General features: G+C 41.0%; 1 protein-coding gene and 1 long non-coding RNA gene across 7 annotated transcripts in view; one reads left to right on the top strand and one right to left on the bottom strand.

The window, feature by feature from the left end:
- The window catches only part of LGR5 (leucine rich repeat containing G protein-coupled receptor 5), a 147182-nt gene extending 134031 nt beyond the window's left edge, over positions 1-13151 (bottom strand). For 5 of the 6 annotated variants that reach the window (NR_110596.2, NM_003667.4, NM_001277226.2 and 2 more), the window contains exon 1: positions 11988-12482. Coding sequence is in view for 4 of the 6 variants with exons in the window: in NM_003667.4 (NP_003658.1) it covers positions 11988-12199 (212 nt within the window). In the remaining 2 variants the exon portion in view is untranslated. Of the gene's footprint in view, positions 1-11987; positions 12483-12960 lie in introns of those variants that run through there. The other variant, XM_047429800.1, reaches the window with a different exon arrangement.
- LOC124902962 (uncharacterized) lies at positions 1448-22206 on the top strand. The gene is made up of 3 exons (XR_007063364.1): positions 1448-1523; positions 10693-10812; positions 22140-22206. It is a non-coding gene; the product is annotated as an uncharacterized LOC124902962 (long non-coding RNA).
- Positions 22207-23278: the final 1072 nt, after the last annotated feature.

The raw sequence follows: 23278 nt of genomic DNA, 5'->3' as shown, positions 1-23278 counted from the left end.
TTATTCAGGTGTGATGAGGCCAACAGATCAGGAGGTGACTGCCATTAAACAGGGAGTTTGTTACTCACAGTTCCCAAGAGGAGAGGGCCCACCATTCCATGCAGAGCCACACAGGAAAGCTCTGGGCTCAGTCTGGAGACAGAAGGAGCAGAAGAAAAGCATGGGCAAGGTCCTTTATTGTGGTTTCCACGGGAAGGAATGGACAAGGCAGGGTAAGCAGGTTTAGGATTGGCTAGTTGAATAGTTTCAGTGTGCTGTGGGATGTAGGGGCTATCCCAATTTATTGAAATCTGAGCTTGGGGTGAGTAGAACAGGAGAATATTGACCTAGAGTCAAGAGCCCTGAAAGAGCCTGGGAAAGGGAGTGGTTGTGGGGTTGTGGGTTTTGGATTGGTTGGTTTGCATATGAAAGGTGCACTCCCAAGAAAATCATTTGCTATCTCCAGGAATTCCCTAGCCCTAGGAGGGGCAGTCTCTCTAGGAGCAGCAAGGCTCCAAGATGTCAAAGCACCATAAAATAGAGAAAATGAAAAACATGGTCAATATACAAGAATTCTGTGTTCTGATCCAATTTTCAAGGGGTATATAGTCCAGTAGTAGAAACGGACAAGTAGATGAAATATGGTGATCAAGTGTGGTGAGCACTATGATCAAAGTGGGTTCAGCATGATGTGGGAGCATCAAAGACAGGTTTCTAAAATGTGGGGTTACAGAAAGCTTCCCAGAGGAGGTGACATTTGAGCTGAGTATGGAAAGACTCATAGAGGTTAGCAAAAGAAGAAAGGCAATCCCAGCAGATGGCAACACATGTGAACACCTGGAGGCATGAAATAGGGAAATTGTAAGATGCAGTTTGAAATGGCTGGAGAGAAGAGAGCTTGGGGTGTTAAATTCAGACTAAAGCTATCTCTACATATTCTAAGTTTGGCCTAAAAGTTCCTCCATACATTGTAAGCTGCAACCTAACTGGATGTGAAAAGAGACTGTAACCTCCTCTTGTCCCAAGCATCGAGTTTTGTCCAATCAAAGATGGCTAACTATTCAAACTCTGTTCAAATAAGGCAAACATCAAGCTGTAATCAACCCATCTGATCTGCACCCCACTTCCATTCACTGTTCTTCACTTTCCCTCTTCTGTCCATAAATCTTCAAACCACATGGCATTGCCAGAATCTCTCTGAACCTATTCTGGTTTGGGGGCTGCCCAATTTGTTCTTTGCTCAATTAAACTCTGTTAAGTTTAATTTGCCTAAGGTTTTTCTTTTAACAGGGAGCTAGGGAGGGGGGATTGGCAGCAGGGGTTGCAGGTTAGGGATGAGGTAAAAAAAGTTGGCTTTGTGGGCTAAACTGAGGTGTTCAAAGTTATTATGAAATCACAGGACACCATTGAAGGATTGAATATAGGTAAGACATGACCAGAGGTGCATCTTGAAGAGAGTAGCAGGATAGTAGGGAGTGTGTGCGTATGTGTTCGAGGTCTACGTAGACCATGACAGGAAACTGCTACAGTCATCCAGGAAAAAAGTGAGTAGACCCTGGACTAGTGCAATGTCACTGCTAGAAGAGAAAGAGAACAGTTAGAAGAGACATTAAGGCAACCAAAATGTGATCAAATAAAGTCATAAATGAAATTTTAATTACAATAATCACATATTTAACTACTATGAACAGAGGCTGGGCCTGGTGGCTACTGCCTATAATCCCAGCACTTTGGAAGGCTGAGGTGGATAATTACTTGAGGCCAGGAGTTCGAGACCAGCCTGGGCAACATAGCCATACTCCCATTTTTACCAAAAAAAGAAAAAAGAAGTAAATGACAACTATGAACAGACATTTGGGGAATTAATTATGCTTAATTATTCTTCAAACTAAATCTGAGTGTTCCTTTTTGCTCTGCAGATTTTTAGGTAATACAGAGACACTGTGTCTGTATTTACAGTGGATCAAAATAAGATGATATTGTTAAAATTCAGGTATATATCTAGATATGGACATACACAACATGTGTAAACAACGGGCTATTTGGCAACATCTGGAAAAGTAACTGGGAGTTTTTGAGTTCATTCGAGTATTTGACATTGAAATATAAAGGTGACCAAGAAGTAGTACTGGGCTGGGGTTTTCAGGAGATCTGGAGTCCAATTCTGTCTTTGCTAGCTGCGTGATTTTCAGAATGTCATTAACCCCTTATGAATATAAAATTTCATCATCTATGAAATAAAGACGTTGGATTAGGTAAATTCCAAGGTTCTTCCCATTCTAAATTCCCTGGGTAGCCATAGCTTTTGATGCACTGAAATCCTTTGTAACCCATCTAAGTGATTTTAATTCTGTTTATTTGGGCAATTAGGGTAATGCTCTAGCAATCACGATTAAATTTCAGTCTTGCATTGTGTAATGTGACCTTAGATATACAGCTTAGTCATTCTGGTAATTTGTGGATAAAAGATTGTCCTTTTAGTTCTTCACAGAACTTACTCTAAATGTAGTTAGGTATTAGCTCAAGCTCTAAATTAAGTTTATTATAATTAACATAAATCTCCCCAAATTTGCTTTCCTTTGTAATATACAACTAATTATATTCTGAAATGTTCATACAGCTAAGGCAAAGAGGGCTTCAAATTACTATGTAGTAGTCATTCAGGACCAGAACATATCTACCTAACACTTATGACTATCAGACTCTAGGGAAGTAGATGTTTTCCTGGAAGGCCAGCAGCTGGGAGGTGGAAGGTGGACACTTGCTGTCAGTTAATCATGCCGCTAGACCTTTTAAGATCTTCAAATGAGATATGCTCACATCCTGGGAGAATCTGGTTTAACTAGGATTTCCTTTTGCTACCCAAGCTTGAAGACTCAATAAAAAAAGATCTTGAACTTCCTCCTGTACTATATTGCACTGAGTCCCAGAGAACAACAGCTGCTGAAGAACAGGGGCTGCGCATGAGTTAAGATCTTCCACCACAGGAACAGTAATGTAGCTTTTCCAAATTAAAATCAGAGACCCCAATTTTGGTGACTGGAGTTGATACTTAAATCCCAAGGACTCTTTTTTCTAAACTTCCCTTCATCTTCTAGTTTGACGCCCTTGGTGGGAAAAGTGTCTGAGATAAGGAAAAGGCATCCTTTCAGTTCTCTGATACTATCTTGAAGCGAGGGATGGAGAAAGGCAAAGAGAGACACAGGAGAAGCGTATCCCCTGGGAACAGGTGTCTAGTGGAGTCCAGTAACTCACAGTCTCTCAGTTCCGTCAGCACTGTCCCTTGGGTCGCAAATTTCTTCCATTAGCCCTTCCACCTCTCTTGCCATTCTTTTTCTAGGCTTTTCTCTATTGTACAGTTAACACTGTAACAATGATAGAGTAGGCCTATTGCCAAATGCAGGCATGTCTGCTAAGGGTCCCTTCAGGACAGGAAGTACAAAGACAAAATAAAGAGGAAGATCCTTTATTCTCAGTCTTTACTAGAAGACTCCAAATTCACTTTGTAGATTCACTCAACAAATACTGTGAAATAAATGTTTATTGTGAAAACTTCAATATATATACAAAATAGTTCATTAAGGAATATAACATCTTCTATGGAAATTTTTATTTGGTTTTCATAATCACATAATAACAACCATATATGTAAAAAACTGAAAGGTTGTATTTTGTGCGGATAGATTTAAAGACCAATTGATTATGTAACAGAGTTCCTTCAAGTAAGTGCCTCACGAGAAAATTTATAACCTAAAACCTTCAAGCACCATGTGGTGTTTTGTGCATCGAACCAATAAACTCATTAAAATAACATTGCATCAACCCAAACACAACACATTGGAAGTTCTAACACAGCCCACATTAACCAACCAACTTTAAAATAATATCCTTGTTATGTACTAAGGTTAAAAATTCAGCAAATTCTTTATATTTTTTCCACTTGAGATCATGTGTGGTTTTCTACTTTCCTGAGAAGTACACTTTTGTGGCTTTTTTGATTAAAGAAAGGTTATTTTTACAAATCGACATCTTTTGTAGAGGTCTCTGCTCCACTTAATCAAGGTTTCAAGAAAAAAGGAGAACAAAAGTATTTACCAGTGTTTCAGTGAAACTTAAAAATTCTAAGGTTATTTTCTCAGTGTAGGCTTTGAAAAGAAGGCACGCATGTAAGGTTAGTCACCACAGTTTGTGTGTGTGTGTGTGTGTGTGTGTGTGTTTGTGTGTGTGTGAGGGAGACGAGGAGGAAGGGGGAAATAAAGGAATTTGGCTGCAAACTGAGGAACAGTTTGAAACACTTGGCTTCTAGTTGTGAAAGATGAGCAACACGGAAAAAAGGACAGGCTAACAAGGGACCACTTGAGGAAAGCTTAATTTCGCCTGGCAGGCTGAGGAGGGAGGTCAGCTCCATGCACGCGTTCTCAGCTGGAGTTGGGCTCCCTTTGCCAGGACGATTGTCTTCTGCATTTCAGTTTCTGAACCGAACTGAAGGTGCCTTCAAGCAGCCAGTTCCACAGTCTCTCCCTTGTAAAGGGTCGGCCCTTCACGGCTATGCCCTGCCAATGTTTGTATCATTTCTGCCAAGCAAGTGGCACAAAGGGAATTGTTTCTTGTTGGTGTGTGTATTAGTGTGCACGAGACACTTTCTTCCCCCTTGGCCATCACAGTCCTTGTTTGAAGAAGAAGCAAACACTCCTTCTGAAGGCAAGAAGGATAAAATGAGTGTGTGGAAAATGTGCATATAGAAAAAATAGGACATTTGAAAATTAGAGATTGTTGAATAAATTGTTAAGTCAGTAAAAAGCTGGAGTATGAGAGTACTATTTTAAAACATTCTAGAGACTGTACCCCAAACATATCCTAATTTTTCTAAACATCAGTACTGTTTTTTCTGTTGACTTTGTAATACAATAAATGATTAATGTATATCAGGTTAATAAGCTGAATCAAGGGACTGAGGAAATTAAATGCATAGTTCAGAAAAGGTTTTTCATTATTTGAAGGAGGGGACTTTTCTATGACTTATGCAGATTTCTAATTGACACATAAGTCTGTATCACTAATTGTCAAAGCATGCAAAGTTTAAAAATATGTTGGGGGATTTGATAAAACTTTGAAACAATTTTCTATTGTGAATCAAATGAATAACATTCTGATACCTTCGTGACAACAATGTATCGCATCTCATCCATTTTAAAGGTGAATACAAGCTCAAATAGAATTTGCCTGTTAAGAAAGTTCATGTCTGTCTGAACTGAGAAATAGTTCCAAAGAATGCAGCTACTTAATTTGACACATAGATCTGGTTATAGGAAAAAAGTTTTATTCTTGCCTAGGTGGTTACTAATCTATTGATCCCTCTTCACAATACTCTGGCAGCTACTGCAACTTATCTCTGATTTGAAGACAAGAAAAATTGTTTCTGTGGTAGTAAGAAAATGGATATATAAAAAGATGTCTACTAAATTTGTAATATTGGCCCTAAACTATATAATGTAATGCTCACATTATTGGAAAATTGAAAACTGCATTTTGCTCTGGAATTCCCTGAAAAAATATTTCTGGTATTAGGGCTTCATAAATTGTGTTCCTGAAAAGAAAAATGGGCCAAAACATTTCAGCACCAATTAAAATGATTACAAGGCATAAGTATAAATTGGAAAGCCTGTTTTCTTGGGTTGCTGTAAACTGGCCCTGAAGATAACTTCAAAGGAAATCCAAAAATATTTTGAGCAATGGAAATACTTGAAATAAGCTTACAGTAAGCTTACCTAATAAGAGGTACTATTATCATTCCTAACGTCACAAGTTGCCCCACCACAAGGGGGGTATTGACTGAGTAAAGTATTTAGTATCTTTGTGGGGCCTATGACTGAGTGAAGTATTTAGTGCCGAACACTTAGGAAACACAATACAACTATCAGTTATTATGACTATTGCTATTACAATAATAAAGTAATTTATACATGTAAATCATGGCATGTGTTAAAATAAACAACTCATTGCATCATTTAAACTGAACACAATTCAGCTGTATTTCAAATGGGGCTGGACAATAATTGTGGCCAGTGGCCTTGTGTTGTTTGTACTTGCGGACTAGTAGTTCTCACCTGTCTTTCTCTGACTCCTATTAGCCACTGGGATTTCAGCAGCTGGTTCAGCCAATTCTACTCAATTCAACATTACTGGTATTTACTGAACTCCCTTAAGAGCCAGGCATTGGTATGGGCACTTGGGGTATAAAGTGGAAAATGCCCTACCCTGGAGGAGCTCACAGCCAAAGAAGAAGAATAAGCCCTGAAGGAAAGAGCCCACCATGAAACCCTAGGGTGTTATTCCATCTGACTTTCAGGAAGTTGTTTACACGGTCAGGAGTTGGTTCCTTTGCATACTCTCCAAGTAAATCTCAGCGTCTCCAATTCCAGACTTAAACATTAAAAAGAGAAGTAATACATGAGGATATACGGAAGCACTTCTGCTTATGAAACATCTTTTGAATAGTTTTCCACTAATGCTAACATCCTGTTAAGAGCCTTTTAGCATTACCACTAGATACATTATTCCATTTCTTGAAATCAAATGACTAACGTTTTTCTCCGTTCCAGTTTCAAGCCAGGCATTCCCATTGGGCTTAATCCATTAAACAGAAAAATGCCACAGATTTTAGGAACGGACCTGCTTCCCACCATATAACTTATGGATAACAAAATCAGTTTTGAATTATGAGAATTTAATTAAAAATTCCACATTATAGACTATGAAATGTCTCCTTTTGGCATAGAGTTCCATAGGTGAAATTGGGCATGTAGTTGGTTATTTACAATGGTTAAATTAAAGTGTGGATTAAAGCTGACAGATCTGGGAATGAAAGAGTTGCAGTGGGCTAGAACTCATGGGCCGATTTAACAAGTGAAATTCTACCAAGATACATCAAAAATAGCAACAGGACTAGATACTCAGCTCATTTTGTTTTATTTGTAATATACCAGTTGTGGCTTTAGTGCCAGTCTGATTCATCTCTCTACTACAAAATGAGGCTCTATAAAGGAAAATATTGCAACTGGAGTGAGGAATTTGAATCTTATAGGAAGGAATTTGTCTTCTCATGAAGACTTCAGTTTACCAGAAGTATCTATTGAGGAAGTGTTTACAAGAAAATGTGCCATTTAGCTTTATTCTAAATTTGCATAATAACTGAACCAAACAAAAACATTACTTCACAAAATTGCTCATTGGACAACCCACTACTGTTTTTCATTTCTGTCTTATGGCCTGTGATTTAGATCATTCAGAAACATACTTAAATTTGTAGCTAAAATGACTTAAATCCATGAATTTGATAGAAGAAATATAAAAAAATGCTTTGCTAAGGTAAGTCAAAATTAAGTATCAGTTATAAAATTATAAATATTCTATAATGTCTTTAATTTTGATAGCTTTATTGGGTTAATTGTTTGGTCTGAAATTTCTATGCCTTTGATAGATATATATTTTGAAAACTGAAAACAATAAAATAGTTCAGATAAAATACTTAACTCTCAGAAATCATAGACCAGTTTTGTGTTTCTAAACTTCTTTAAACACACCCAAGTGTGACTGGTCTATTATCAAAACATGATGTTGTTTAACTACACAGGCTATTTCTTGATTCCGATCTTCTAACTCATTTATGATTGCTACCTTTTGTTGCTACATCAGAACTCCTTTACTTTGAGGAAAATGCATAAGGAAGAAAGAAAAAAACTGAAGATCATGTTTATTATATGTAAAAATTCATTCTTGTCACACCAACTCTGCCATGCATATGTTAAATATATTCAGTAAATATTTATTTTAAATTTATGCCACAAAATTGTTTGAATGAGCTCACTACTTTAAAAAATTACTTAGACTAATTATCAGTTAGTTTTAATAATTCACCCTATAACAAAAACACTATGGAAAAAATCCCCAGGAATCCTGGAGAAAAAGAAAGAACTTCATTAAAATGAAGAAAATTTACTGGCATCATTATATTTTAAACAATTCTAAAAGTACATTTTAGAGCAAACTGTATAATGTTTGTAATTGATCTAAATGTTAAGGCTGTTATAAGAGTTACTATTTTTGTAATCATTTCTAAAGTACATTTTCTTTTATTTAAGATAAGAGAAGCAGAACTATATTAACTCATTTTCAAAGAAGATCCTAAAAAGGATCTTTCATCTTGAAACTGCATCTTAAACACTTAAAACACATTTATGATATTAAGGCGGTGCCTGATTTAACTAATTGTGGCTTTTGTTCCATTCTTATTAACATTAGTTTTAGGAGTTATGTGTAAAATTAAATTTTGTTTCAAAGTTACATATGAAAAAGTAACCAAACTACATATAATTAAAAAAAAAAATCTTTTCTCTTGGTCCCTTTGGTTTATATAACATACATTTGCTTGTGGATGAAATGTGAATGCCTTTAAGGAACAGCAAAGAAAAATTCAGTTTTCTTTTTAAAATAAAATAGCTGTTCTGGACCAATAAAGAAAAGTATATTTATTATATTAGGATCTTCATTAGGATTCAGTTTTCTATCTGAATGTCACACTAACTAGACAGACACATCAAAGTAGCAGAGAGGAGTTTACTTTTAAGACCCTATTAATAAAAATGTCCACATTTGATGCATTAAAATAACTTACCTATACTAAGATTAGATGTTAGAACTACTTTATTTAGGACAGATCACAACTGGTATTAAATGTTGTAAACCATTATTGTCTGCTTTTATATCTCAACCTTGGTGCGTTCCTTATTTTCTGCTAAGTAAACTTTATTAGCCCCTGTTAGTAAAATCAGAGCCCATAACCACTTGCTGGGGCAGCAGGGGGAGAGAAGAGATGAAGACTGAGATTTTTCCAGCGTTTTCACTCGGTTTATTGGTCCAGTTAAAGACCTACTGTGGAAGGCAGCTCAGTAAGAAAAGAGAATCAATATTAATATTTGCACTGGCTTAAAATTTTGCTTTTCTGGGAAAAAAAGATTACAAAATGGCACATAAATAGTGTTTGCATTCTGTGAAGAGATGTAGGAAACTTTCTTTACCTACAAGTCTGACTAGCCAGCTCTCAGATTGTGGTAAATGTGTACAGCTACTTGCCAAATGTGTACAGCTGGAACTTGCCATCATCAATCTGTTTGAAGAAAAGGAAATGCTTGTTCTTTTTTTGAAGGGGATTGGGTGATAACATTTTGACTAAATAAATGATGATAACCTCTTACAAATAATAAAAGATAGTAGTTCTGGCTTTTTACCACATCAGTCTTGGTACACTGCAACTTTTTCATCAAGGCTTAATTTCTACTGGGCCCCAGTGGAGTGGAGCTATAACTTTGTGTTCCCTTTCAACATCAAAGGGAAGTTATTCCTTCAAATAAGAAAATCAGTAGAACACATACTCATTTATTTGAATATGAATAAATCAAAATTCCTCTTTTATGTTTTGGCTGCACAAGTGAAGACAGAAATGGTCAGAGAATACTAGGTGTAACCAAAAGAGGGCATCATCTACCCTTAATGTCTGCACAGCGTTCCTCTGGTTGTAAGAAACCAACAAAGCCCCCAAACCCTCAATACCTGCTCAAAGGGCATCCCATGGGCCCTGGCATTTTTTAGTATATAGGGACACCAAATTATGAAATCACACATTATAAAGAACACCACATTGCTTATTTACTTCAGGACTGACTTCTATATTCAGCACTCATATTCCCTGAACTGTGTTGCATTAGAAATAAGTATTTAACATTTACTGTATCACTTTTTACAGATACTCTGAGTTTAATATTTCACAGGGCACTGGGAAAATGTCTTCTTAGGCCAGGGTACAGGCTGTCATCACATGAGAATAATATGGCACTTAATTTCCTAATAGTATCTTAACTTCAAGAGGTTATCTATAATATAGATAGATAGATTGTTCTATCTATAGATAGATAGGGAACATTGGCAGTAGGTGGCAGTAAGTTCCCCTGAGCACATGGAGGACACAGTTAAATGCATTTGAGGTATGTGGGAAATGGTTTAAAGCAGAATTTTATGCCAACTTTTAGTAACGGAAGCCTAACAAATGTTTGTTCTTTCAAGTGAGAGAAGCAAGCAATCTGGAACTATTCATAAGCTTATTTTCTGTATCCTTAAACATATTTTATAATGAATGTATGATTTAAATAGTAAGTTAAGTGTCTGGGGGTACTGCACACCTCCCTTGCATACAGTCAAACTTCTTCAGGGTGATGGGGAAGAGGAGTTATAGGCTGCCAAGCAAAATTGCCAAACTGGTCTCAGAAATTCACTGCATTGGAGAGCGCGGGATCCTTGCAACACTGACTTTAGCAGTTAAACTAGAGTGGTTGGGGATGAGTATTCTGCTTTGTAGTAGAGATAGCTGTTCAGGAGGAGGAAATGTGAATTCTGAGAGCGTGATCATTTAGGAGAGATTTCCATTCCTGGAACGATATCACTACCACATGCACGAGTGCAATTGAAGGGAAACCTGGTGGGGAAACAGTTTTAACATTCTTTCAGGTAAAAAAGAAAAAGCAGTCAAAATAGCTTTATGGTAGAGGAGGAGGCGACCTGCCATCTACCAATCCTAAAATCTAGCAGAATGGTACCTTTCTTTAAAGACAATATTAAAGCAAGTAAAAGATGTTTTTTTCTTCCTCACTCTGTCTCCAGAAAAAGAATCACTACCTAGTGGAAAATGTTGTGCAAGCCTCTTCATGTTTCTTCCCTCCAGAAAACAACTAAACAGATGGAAGAACTGGTTCACAAACATCCCAACTCTCTCCTGCCAAGGTACATCAGAGAAGCCGAAAACTGGGACTGCATGGGCTTGGGGTGGGCTCGCTGCAATGTCTTGATCTAAAACCTAAATGTTTCACCTTGTGGTAAGGAGCACCTGTTTCCCAGAGTGGCCTAGAACCTGGCCTCTCTGCTGGAAGGAATGAAGCCCCAGATGCTTTGCACGGGGGTGGAGAGAGTAGTCGCCTTGGTCTCCGAGAATAGGGTTCCTCCTGGGTCACCGCGTTCACCCAACTACCTGTTACCTTCGGGCCTGGGTTTTCCACAGAAAAAATTACGCAATGAGCCGCCGCCTCAGGGCTTTGGAAGTTGCAGTGGGGAGAGAAGGGGTGGGAGAATCCCCCAGGGATGATAGAGAGCTTCAGGTCTCCCTTTGGGTGTCGGTGCCGCTGTTTACCAGCCCAACAGCCTTCAGCCCACTTCCCCTTTCCTCCCCGGGGGAAGAGATGGTTAAAGATTACACAGCGGCCGCGGGCACTTCAAAGGGCGGCGCGGGCAGCCAAAGGTAAAGATAACGTTCTGGCAGCTCTAATCGGGGTTTGTGGTTGCCACATTTTAATCACGCCGTTAAAAAAGAAAGAAAATAAAAAGAAAGGAGGGAGGGAAGGAAGGAAGAAGGGAGGAAGGAAGGGAGGAAAAGAGGAAAAAACCCCAAAAAGGTTACATCACGTCACAGTGCAAGGGATGCAGACTAAAAACCCTTTGGAGCTGGGCAAGTTGTTTCTCCTTTGGGGAAACTTTCTACAGACCATCTTTTCGTGGAATGCGACTAGACGCAGAGAGGCGGTTGGGGCGGGGACCAGATGGCAGCCTGCCTTTGGGTACCAGGCTCTGGGTCACAAATGTCCACTCCGCACGCAAATGCCTGCATTTGCAGGAATTCGCCCTGCGATGTTTCTAGCGCTGGACTGGGAAGCTGCGGCGCAGCAGCGCTTTCCCGGGTTGCACTCGAAGCCATTTCTCTGCGGGTCCAGAAAGTGCCGGCACGCTACTCCCCGAGACACGTGCATTTCTCTGGGGGCCCTAACAGGCCTGGCCAGGATGCCCTTGACAAACTCGCCCCCCTCCCCCACGAGCAGGCGGGCGCCGAGGAGCCTCCAGCCTCGCCTTGGACGAACCTTCCTTCCCCTCTTAGTCTCTCTCCCGGAGTGACGTGGGGAAGTACTTACAGGTAGGAGGTGAAGACGCTGAGGTTGGAAGGCAGCTCCGAGAGCCCCAGGTCGGAGCAGTCCACCCTGAGCAACATCCTGCCGTCGGGCTCGCAATGACAGTGTGTGGGGCAGCCCCTCAGCAACACACCAGACCTGGGAGAGCTGCCCCCGGTCGCCAGCTGCAGCAGCACAGGCAAGGACAGGAGCACACCGAGCCGGGAGGTGTCCATGGTGCCCGAAGTAGGGGGCCACGAGCCGGACGCGGGCGGAGAGCAGCACCGGACTGCTACGGGCCGTGGCGCGCCGGGCGCCGCTCCGTGGGCTTCTGCAACTCAGCGGGCGTCTGCAGCGCCAGACGCCGCGTTCCTGACCCCACGGCGTGGGCGGCGAGGAGAAGCGCGGCGGGGACAGAGGTGCCGGTTGCCGCCACGCCGGCCTTCGGAGCAGCCCTGGCTGCAGCGGCGACAGTGGCGGTGCGCCTTGCTGCTGCTCGCGGCCTGAGCGGTGTGGAGCAGCATCTCTGCTTGCACGCTCGTTTTTTAAAGCGCTCCAGCCCGAATTGCGCGCCCAGTGACGTCAGCGCAGCCTGGCTTCCCAGGCACCCCCCGCCCGGCCCCACTTTCCCTCCACTTGTCCCCTCCCTCCTTTCCCAAGTCCTGGGCTGGGAGGCAGCAGGCAGCAGGCAGCGCGCGGTACTGGCGAGTTCTCGGCGCTCCCACTGAGCCTCCGCCTGGAAGATTCAGTGCTCAACGCCGCGCGCCGGAATAGGGGACCCCCCCACCCTTACCCCTTCATGCGTGCTGGAGACCCAGATCTAAGAGTCGAGAGGGACCTGCTTCGGAGAGACCTAAACAGACGCACAAGGACTGGAGGATGCGGCACGTTTCCTCCGAGCCCGCTTCAAATAATGGATGAGATACTTGAAGTGATTAAACAGAATAAAACAAAACAAAAACACAAAAACTAAAATCCTATGCAGAGAAATAGTTACGTTATCAGGGTAAGGAGGCAGGCGTCCCCGGCGAATGATAGGTGGCCTTTTTGATCCTTACGTCTGCCGCACTGTCTGGCTCGCTTTTGCCCTAAAATCAAAGCTCTAGGCTAATCGCTAAACAAATACAGCTCCTGAGCGAGCACTCCACTGCTGCCTTCCTATCTCTTGCGGGGTGAGGAAGTCGAAGTGACTCATTTGTTTTTTAAAAGTGGTTTAGAATACCCTAGAAGTCACTTTTAGTAAATCGATGCCAGAGTGACAGATGGCTGTTTGCTAACTTCCAGGGACTTTTCATCTTAAGTGTCCCAGCGCTCTCTGAACTGAGAGCAGTCCCACCTATGTGAGTGACACTGGGCTCTGAGAACCGCTGCAGAGCGCCAGGGGGAAAATGCATGCTCTTGCTTCAAAAAGTGTCCTATAGTGAATCTGCAGGAAAAAGGAGGAAAAGGATTCAGGGCTTTCTTGGAGAGAAGCCCTCGTTGAGGTACAAATAGCCCTCGCCAGACCTGAGTGAGCTGCTGAAAGAGGTGGTATTCCAAGCCTGCCACACCAACTCACAAAAATGCAGTTTTCACTCTGGGGCACAATGCCTCACAGCATCATGAAGGCAGGATACCCTGTTGATTTTCCAAGTCCTTTTTAATCTTCCTGCATTTAGACTGCCCAACAAAATTTCCCAAATAAACGTCTAAATTTTAGAGTTGGGAAGAGCTGTTTCTCTGTGCAGTGTATGTGCCTTCCTTCATGTCCAAACCTCGCTGTTTGTTCACCTAAAATATATAATTTCTTGACCACAATCTGTAGTCTGAACATCTTCCTTTCTTGGGTGAAAAAACAAACAACAAACAAAGCACTTGACAGTGCTAGTGCCACTGAAAATTGTGAGTTAACTCCGGTTTCCGCACAATCAGTACAGAGAGCCCGCGTCTCTGGACACCCTTTTCCTTCACTTTTCCCTATGTATACCACATTCACTGCTACTCTGTGCTTATTCTCACATTATTCTTGCTTCCCTTAGCCATTCTTTCCACATTTAAAGAATGCCTACCTTGTGTCTTTCTTCCTTTTTTTAAACATTTTAAAAAAAATTTCAATGGCTTTTGGGGGTACAAGTGGGTTTTGGTTATATGGATGAATTATACAGCGGTGAATTTTGAGATTTTAGTGCACTCATCACCCAAGTAGTGTATGTTGTACCCAATATGTAGTTTTTAATCCCACACCCTTCTCCTACCCTCCCTTTTTGGGATCTCCAAAATCCGTTTTAACACTCTGTATGCTTATGCATATTCATAGCTTAGCTCCCACTTATATGTGGGAAAATATGGTATTTGGTTTTCCATTCCTGAGTTACTTCACTTAGAATAATGGCCTTCAGCTCCCTTCAAGTTGCTACAAAAGACTTTATTTTATTCCTTTTTATGGCTGAGTACTCTTCCATGCTGTATGTATACCACATTTTCTTTATCCACCCACTGGTTGATGGGCACTTACGTTGGTTCCACATCTTTACAATTGTGAACTGAGATGCAATAAAAATACGTGTGCATGTGTCTTCTTCATATAATAACGTCTTTTCCTTTGAATAGTGATATGGTTTGGCTCTGTGTCCCCACCCAAATCTCATGTCGAATTGTAATCCCAAGCATTGGAGGAAGGGCCTGGTGGGAGGTGATTGAATCATGGGGGTGAATTTCCCCCTTGCTGTTCTCATGATAGTGAGTTCTCATGAGATCTGGTTGTTTAAAAATGTGTTGCATTCCACCTTTGCCCTCTCTCTCCTGCTTCCTCATGTGAAGACGTGCCTGCTTCCCCTTCTTCTTCCACCATGATTGTAAGTTTCCTGAGGCCTCCCCAGCCATGCTTCCTGTACAACCTGTGGAACCATGAGCCAATTAAACCTCTTTCATTATAAATTACCCATTCTCAGGTAGTTCTTTATAGCAATGTGAGAATGGACTAATACAGAAAATTGGTACCAGGAGAGAGGCATTGCTATAAAGATATCTGAAAATGTGGAAGCAATTTTGTAACTTGGTAATGGGCAGAGGTTGGAACAGTTTGAATGGCTCAGAAGAAGACAGGAAGAAGAGGGAATGTTTGAAACTTCCCACAGACTTGTTAAATTGTTGTGATCAAAATGCTGATAGTGACATGGACACTGAAGTCCAGGCTGAGGTGGTCTCAGATGGAGATGAAGAACTTGTTGGGAATTGGAGCAAAGGTCACTTTTGTTATTCATTAGCAAAGAGGTTCTAGGCATTGTGCCCCTGCCCTAGAGATCTGTGGAACTTTGAACTTGAGAATGATGATTTAGGGTATCTGGCAGAAGAAATTTCTAAGTGGCAAAGCATTCAACATGTGACCTGAGTGCTTCTAACAGCATAAGCTTATATTTGTGAGCAAAGAGATAATCTGAAACTGAAACATATTTAAAAGGAAAACAGAGTGTAAAAGTTTGGAAAATTTGCAGCCCTGCCAAGTGGTAGAAAAGAAAAACCCATTTTCTCAGGAGTAATTCAAGCTGGGCCTAGGAAGGAAGAATGATTTTGCAGGCTGGCCCCAGGGTCTGGGTGTCCCACTTCCTTAAGCCCCACTGCCCTGACCAACCTCAAGACACTGCTCCCTGCATCCCAGCCACTGCAGTTCTAGCCATGACTAAAAGGGCCCAAATATGTCTGAGGCAGCTGCTCCAGAGGGTGTAAACCCTGACCCTTGGCAGCTTTCGCTTGGTGGTAAGCCTGTGGGTATGCAGAGGGCAAGAGTTGAGGCTTGGGAGCTTCCACCTAGATTTCAGAGGATGTATGGAAATGCCTGGATGTCCAGGCAGATGTCTGCTGCAGGGGTGGAGCCCTCATGGAGAACCTCTACTAGGGAAGTGCAGAGGGGAAATTTGGGGCTGGAGCCCCCACATAGAGTCCCCACTAGGGCACTGCTTGGTGGAGCTGTGAGAAGACGGCCACCATCCCCCAGAACCCAGAATGGTAGATCCACTCACGCCTTGCACCATGTGTCTGGAAAAGCCTCAGGCACTCAACACCAGCCCATAAAAGCAGTCACCACAGAAGCTGTTACCTTCAGAGCCTCAGGGGCAGTGCTGCCTGAGGCCTTGGGAGCCAACTCCTTGCATCAGTGTTGCCTGGATGTGAGACATGGAGTCAAAGGAAATTATTTTGGAGCTTTAAGATTTAATGACTGCCCTGCTGGGTTTTGGACTTGGATGGGGCATACACCCCTTTTGTTTTGGGAAATTTCTCCCTTTTAGAATGTGAGCATTTACCCAATGCCTGTACCCCCATTGTATCTTGGAAGTAACTAACTTGTTTTTGATTTTATAGGCTCATACACAAAAGGGTACAGGTACAGGCTCTTTTGGACTGTAGACATTTGAGTTAGTGCTGAAATGAGTTAAGACTTTGGGGAACTGTTGAGAAAGCATGATTGTGTTTTGAAATGTGAAAAGGACATGAGATTTGGGAGGGGTTAGGGATGGAATGATATGGTTTAGTTCTGTGTCCCCACCCAAATCTCTTGTTGAATTGTAATACCCATTGTTGCAGGAGGAACCTGGTGGGATGTGATTGAATCATGGAGGCCGACTTCTCCCTTACTGTTCTCATGATAGTTCTCATGAGATCTGGTGGTTTAAAAGTGTGTAACACTTCCCCATTCACCCTCTCTCTCTCCTGCTCTCCCATGTGAAGAGGTATCTGCTTCCTCTTCACCCTCCGCCATGATTATAAGTTTTCTGAGGCCTCCCCCACTATGCTTCCTGTAAAGCCTTGGAACCATGAGCCAAGTAAACCTCTTTTTTAAAAAAATAAATTACGCAGTATCAGGTAGTTCTTAATAGCAAAGAAAGAACAGACAAATATAGGTAGGTACCAAGTACTGGGATTGCTGAATTGAATGGTAGATCTACTTTTAGTTCTTTAAGAAATCTCCATACTGTTTTCCAGAGGCTGTACTAGTTTACATTCTCATCAGCAGTGTATAAGTATTCCCCTTTTACCACATCTATGCCAATGTCTATTGTTTTTTGACTTTTTAATAACGGCCATTCTTGCAGGAGTAAGGTGGTATCTCACTGTGGTTTCAACTTGCATTTTTCTGATGATTAATGATGTTTAACATTTTTTTCATGTGTTTATTGGCCATTTGTGTATCTTCTTTTGAGAAATGTCTATTCATGTCTTTAGCTCACTTTCTGATGGGATTATTATTTTTTTCTTGCTGATTTGTTTGAGTTTCTTGTAGATTCTGGATACCAGTCCTTTGTCAAATGTATAGTTGCAAATATTTTCTCCCATTCTGTGGGTTGTCTGTTTACTCTGCTGATTATTTCTTTTGCTGTGCAGAAGCTTTTTTTTTTTTTTTTTTTTTTTTTCTTGACACAGAGTCTCGCTCTGTCACCCAGGCTGGAGTGCAGTGGCATGATCTTGGCTCACTGCAAGCTCTGCTTCCTGGGTTCCTGCCATTCTCCTGCCTCAGCCTCCCGAGTAGCTGGGACTACATGTGCCCGCCACCACGCCTGGCTAATTTATTGTATTTTTAGTAGAGACGGAGTTTCACTGTGTTAGCCAGGATGGTCTCAATCTCCTGACCTTGTGATCCACCCGCCTCGGCCTCCCAAAGTGCTGAGATTACAGGCATGAGCCACCGTGCCTGGCCAAAGCTTTTTAATTTAATTAGGTCCCATTTTTTTTTTGTTTTTGTTGCATTTGCTTTTGGAGTTTTAGTCATGAATTCTTTGTCTAGGCCAATGTCCAGAAGAGTTTTTCCAAGGTTATCATCTAGAAGTTTTATGGGTTTTGGTCCTAGATTTAAGTCTTTGATCCATCTTGAGTTGATTTTTGTACAAGGTGAGAGATAGAGATCCAGTTTTATTCTTCTACATGTGGCTCGCCAGTTTTCCCAGCACCATTTGTTAATAGAGTGTCCTTTACATTTCTGTTTTTGTAAGTTTTGTTGAAGATCAGTTGGCTTTAAGTATTTGGCTTTATTTCTGTGTTCTCTATTCTTTCCCATTGAGCTAGGTGCCTACTTTTATAGCAATACCATGCTGTTTTGGTAACTACAGCACTGTAGTATAACTCGAAGTCCAGTAATGTGATGCCTCTAGATTTGTTCTTTTTGCTTAGGATTGCTTTAGCTAGTTGGGTTCATTTTTGGTTTCATGTGAATTTTAGGATTATTTTTTCTAATTCTTTGAAAAATGATGTGGTATTTTGATAGGAATTGCATTGAGTCTGTAGATTGCTGTGTGCAGTATGGTCATTTTCACAATATTGATTCTTCCAATCCATGAACATGGGTTATGTTTTCATTCATTTGTGTCATCTATGATTTCTTTCAACAGTGTTTTGTAGTTTTCCTTGTAGAGATCTTTCACCCCCTTGGTAAAGTATATTCCTAGGGATTTTGTTTTTGTTTTTGTTTGCAGCTGCTGTAAAAGAGATTGAGTTTTTGATTTGTTTATTGGCTTGGTCATTGTTGGTATATAGCAGGGCTACTGATTTGTGTATATTGATTTTGTAACCTGAGACTTTACAGAATTTGTTGATTAAATCTAGGATTATTTTAGAGGAGTCTTTAGGGTTTTCTAGGTATACCAACATATCTTCAGTGAACAGTAATAGTTTGACTTTCTCTTTTCCCATTTAGATGCCCTTGATGTCTTTCTCTTGCATTATTGCTGTGGCTAGGACTTCCAGTACTATGTTGAATAGAAGTGGTGAAAGTGGGCATCTTTGTCTTATTCCAGTTCTCAGGGGGAATGCTTTCACCATTTCCTGTTCAGTATGATGTTGCCTGTGGGTTTGTAATATATGGCTTTTATTAATTTGAAGTAAGTCCCTTCAATGCTAGTTTGTTGAAGGTTTTTTATCATAAAGGGATGCTGGGTTTTACCAAATGCTTTTTTTTTTTGCATCTATTGAGGTGATCATATGGTTTTTGTTTTTAATTCTGTTTATGTGATATATCACATTTATTGACTCCAGTATGTTAAACCAGTGATCCCCAGCCTTTCTGGGGGAAAGTGGGGGATGGGGGAATAGTTTCATGATGAAACTCTTCCACCTCATAAGGAGTGTGCAACTTAGATCTCTTGCCATGCACGGTTCACAATATGATTCACGCTCCTATGAAAATCTAATGCCGCTGCTGACCTGACAGGAGATGGAGCTCAGTGGTAATGCTTACTTGCCCACCACACACCTCCTGCTGTGTGACTCATTTCCTAAGAGACCGTGGACCAGTACCAGGGCATGGCCCAGTAGTTCATACTGCATCCCTGGTATGAAACCCACTTGATCATGGTGTGTTTTATTTTTGATGTGCCGTTGAATTTGGTTAGTTAGTATTTTGTTGAGGATTTTTTGCATGTTTGTTCATCAGGGATATTGGTCTGTAATTTTCTTTTTTGTTATGTCCTTTCCTGGTTATCTATTTCTCTAAGTGTGTTTTTTACTTCCAGCAGTTGGGATTGTTTTTTCTTTATGATATCTATGTCTCTGGAGAATTTTTCATCCATATCCTGCATGTAAAAAAATTTCTTTAAGTTGGCTTTCACCTTTCCCTTGTATCTCCTTGAGTAGCTTAACAATCAACCTTCTGAATTCTTTATCTGGCAATTCTGAGATTTCTTCTAGGTTTGGATCCATTGCTAGGGAGCTAGTGTGATCTTTTGAGGGTGTTATAGAACCTTGTTTTGTCATATTACCAGAATTACTTTTTTGGTTCCTTCTCATTTGTGTAGACTATTTATTCTAATTATTCTTGAATTTGTGATTTCACTGTGTATTTTTAAAAATTCTTTTTTTCCTCCTTAAGGATGTGACTTTAATGTTTATAGTTTATTGTAGCTTAATTTGGCTCTTGGTGCTTTCAGGAGTGAAGCCTCTGTATGAGTTCCTTGGTTATAGAGAGTCTTTGTATGATGACTTTCTCAGTTTCTGGTTGTAGTAGCAATACGCTTAATGTGTGAGCAAGTTCACAGTCTGTTAATAGGGTTGGAATGGTAGACGTTTCTTGAAGCTTATCTCATTCCCCCATGGCATACACTTTTTTATTTATTTACTTTCCCTATTATTTTATTTACTAGGTTGAATAGTTCAGGCGTCATGCCAATAGGGGTATGGTGTCCATGGGTAATAACAGGATGTGGCTAAAGCATGTGGTTAAACACAATACCAAATGGTGGGCAGGGGTGGCTGGGGGAGCTCTCAGTGAAATGCACTGAGGCCTTATCAGAGGGAAAGACTGCACCCACCCCTACCCTTGCCAGGCCAGCAGGAAAGCCATCTACCTCTCAAACACCCCTGAGCCAATGTTCTGGCTATTCTGATCAGATAGACACCTCTTTTTATGTACAAGCCTGTTGATGTTCCAAGTAGAGAGGAATTGTGACTTTACTTCTCATGCAAGCCTGCACCTGGAGAGTGCGCCTCCTGTGGGGATGGAGTCACCCTGAAGTATTCCAGAGAGGCTTCCTATAGGTGCACACATGCCAAGCTCCCATGGGAAAAGCCCCAGCTGTGTCTGCAGTGATGGATGACAGGGAGAAGACGTCCCCTTCTCTAAGACCCTTCATGAGCACCAGGGTTGCCTGACTTTTGGAGTAGGGCCTAAGAGTTTCTCTGCTGAGCCTAGCACTGCAGCTGTGCCTTTTCTGAAAGAGACTTCCCACCAGGGGAAAGATCAAGGACTTAAGGCCTACTCTCTGGGTCCCTTTGTCCCACTGGGTATTCCCTTGATGTGGTACATTCCCCCTTCTCCTATGAGTAGGAGTCCCTGAGAGCCAGACTACTTGAAAATGCTACTGCTCCTCCGGGTCTAGCCACTCAGTGTGGCTGTGATGCTCCAGGCTGGTGCTGGGGAATATCTGCAAGAGCTCCAGAGGTGTAGCCTGTCCTCAAGTCTTCCAGCTGCAGGTACCAGCTCTAGCTCTGACGGGGGTGCCAGGGGAGTGATGTAGACTCTGTGAGATTCCTTGGCTATGGATAATCTTAATGTGTTGGCTTTTCCAATGCTGACTATAGTAGCAATGAACAGGTCATATGGACAGACTCAGGGCCTCTTGGTTAGCCAGGGTGATGCAGACGATGCTGATAGCTGAGGTCACACACAAGTTTTCTATTTTCTGGGTGAAGTGTTATCTTTCTACCTGCCTTCCCTTTTTAAATAAAAAAAAAAAACCCACCCCAACCATACCCCCACATTATTTATTTTGTGAAGGCAGCTCAAGACTTATTCTTTCTGTGACACCTCCCATGAGCATAGTCCGCATTAATCACCAATCAGCAGATATTTAAACTACAGCTGTGATGCAGCAGTGTCCTGGTAGAGCTTGCAGTCTACAGGACATGACACTCTAAACAGGAATCCCAAGGGTGATGAGTCTCACTGAAATGTATTTATAAGTATCATATGGTTTAAAGCTAAAGTTTTTTTTGAATGCATATTTGTTTTGTTTTTCCAACTTAACCACTTTGGAGGCAGGGTCTAGACCACTTGTCTCTTCTTTACCTGTAGGACTCATATTAGGGACTCATAGTAGTGAGTACTTAACAAATATTTGTTGACTGATTAGCTCATACACATAGGCATCCAAATATGGTTGTGCCCACCATCTGTTTAAAGACATTAAACAACACTTTCTCTGACTTCAAAGTTGCTAAAAGAAGCATAACACTTTCGTTGTGGAATGAATCAGGTAGAACTGTGTTTGAATCTAGGTTTTGCCAGTTTCAGGTTGATTGATCACAGGTACAGAATGAGCCTAAGTGTCAGTTACCTTCTCTGTAAATGGGGGATATTATTAAAACAACCTAGGTTGTTATAAATGTTAAAATATCTAGAAATTGGCCTAGACCAGAGTAGATTTTCAATGTGTGTCAGTGTGTTCCCTCTTCTTTTCAGTAATTGGAGTTTGTTAACAAATTTATGTATAGCAGAGAGATTTTTTAACTCAATAAGTAGAGAAGATGGTTCTGCTGGATGAGGTTAGGCATAGTAAAAATCTGTTGCTTTTCTTTTCCTTCTTTCTTTTTTTTTTTTTTTGGTATACCCAACATTTCTCTCCTCTCCTTTTGGTAAGAGTGCCCTTTGGGAAACTTTCCCCCACACCTTAGGACTGTACGTCATATGACCCCATCTCCCTGTCTCTGGTGCAGGAATATAACAGAAGCAGAACAATCTGAATCTGGCTGGGGGATTGTCCTAGACCCTGGGATGAGAGGGTCTTCTCTGGCTTCATGAGCTCTAAGGACAAGCAAACCTGAAGCTTATGGGGACTGCTGTTCTGCTTCGTGAAGAAGCTCACTAGAAATGGAATATTAGCATTAGAAAGGAGAGAAGCAAAATCCTGAGGTCATCTTCTAAACAACTAAATCTAAAGCCACTTCTGTTCTATCACCTCTCCATTGGATAAACCAGTTAATTTTGTTTTATTTTGTTGTTGGAACTGGTGAGTGAAAATTCATCTGTGATCACTTACAATCAAGCATATTCAGTAAAAACTCAAAGCACAGGAAACATGAACATTTGAGAGTGGCCTGATGAATCTTCAAGGTCTTGTAAACCTTATTTCATAGAGAATGATATGGAAACTAGGAATGGTCCAGCTGCTGATGATTTTGTGGCCTGAATGAATGCATGTTAATCACTTTATCTTAGCTAATAAAGATAGAAATACAGCAAACCAAATTCCTTTCACTTGAAAATAAAGTTTCAGCAAGGCTGTTGAGCAGTGGTCTCTGTTTGGTGACAAATGCCATTTAATTGATAAGATCAGGTTCTTAAATTGCATGATAATGACCATCAACATTGACTCAGCCCTTTACACAGCCACATGTTCTTGTTGGGTCTTGATAAGAGGTAGGTACGATTCTTACCCTACATTTAAGGATAAAAAATGCAAGTGGTTTTCCTAATGATGACCAGAAAGTTTGTGATGGACCCAAAATTCCAACCGAGCCTTTTGACTTGAAGTGCTGAATCCTTTTCAAAATCCCTTGGGAATTCTAGTCACATAGAGACTTAAACTGGATAGAATATGGGTTTATTATTATTTTATTGAGAAAGAAATTCACTTGTTTTTATAAAGAAAATGTGATCTTTGTGAACTGCAGTAGAACCAGTTGGAGCAAAGAATGGTGATTTATTATGTGAATGGTAGGGCCAAGTGATATCTTAAACATTCTTTCACCTGAAATATGTATACTTCTGGTTTCTTTCAATCAGTTACTCACAGGCATGCATCCTGGTGAGACATCAGAGAAAAAACATCACGAATCTTACATGTAAGGCGAGT

This window comes from Homo sapiens, chromosome 12 (assembly GCF_000001405.40).
Source record: "Homo sapiens chromosome 12, GRCh38.p14 Primary Assembly".
NCBI classification, from domain to species: Eukaryota; Metazoa; Chordata; class Mammalia; order Primates; family Hominidae; genus Homo; species Homo sapiens.
This window is presented reverse-complemented; position numbering and strand designations above follow the sequence as displayed.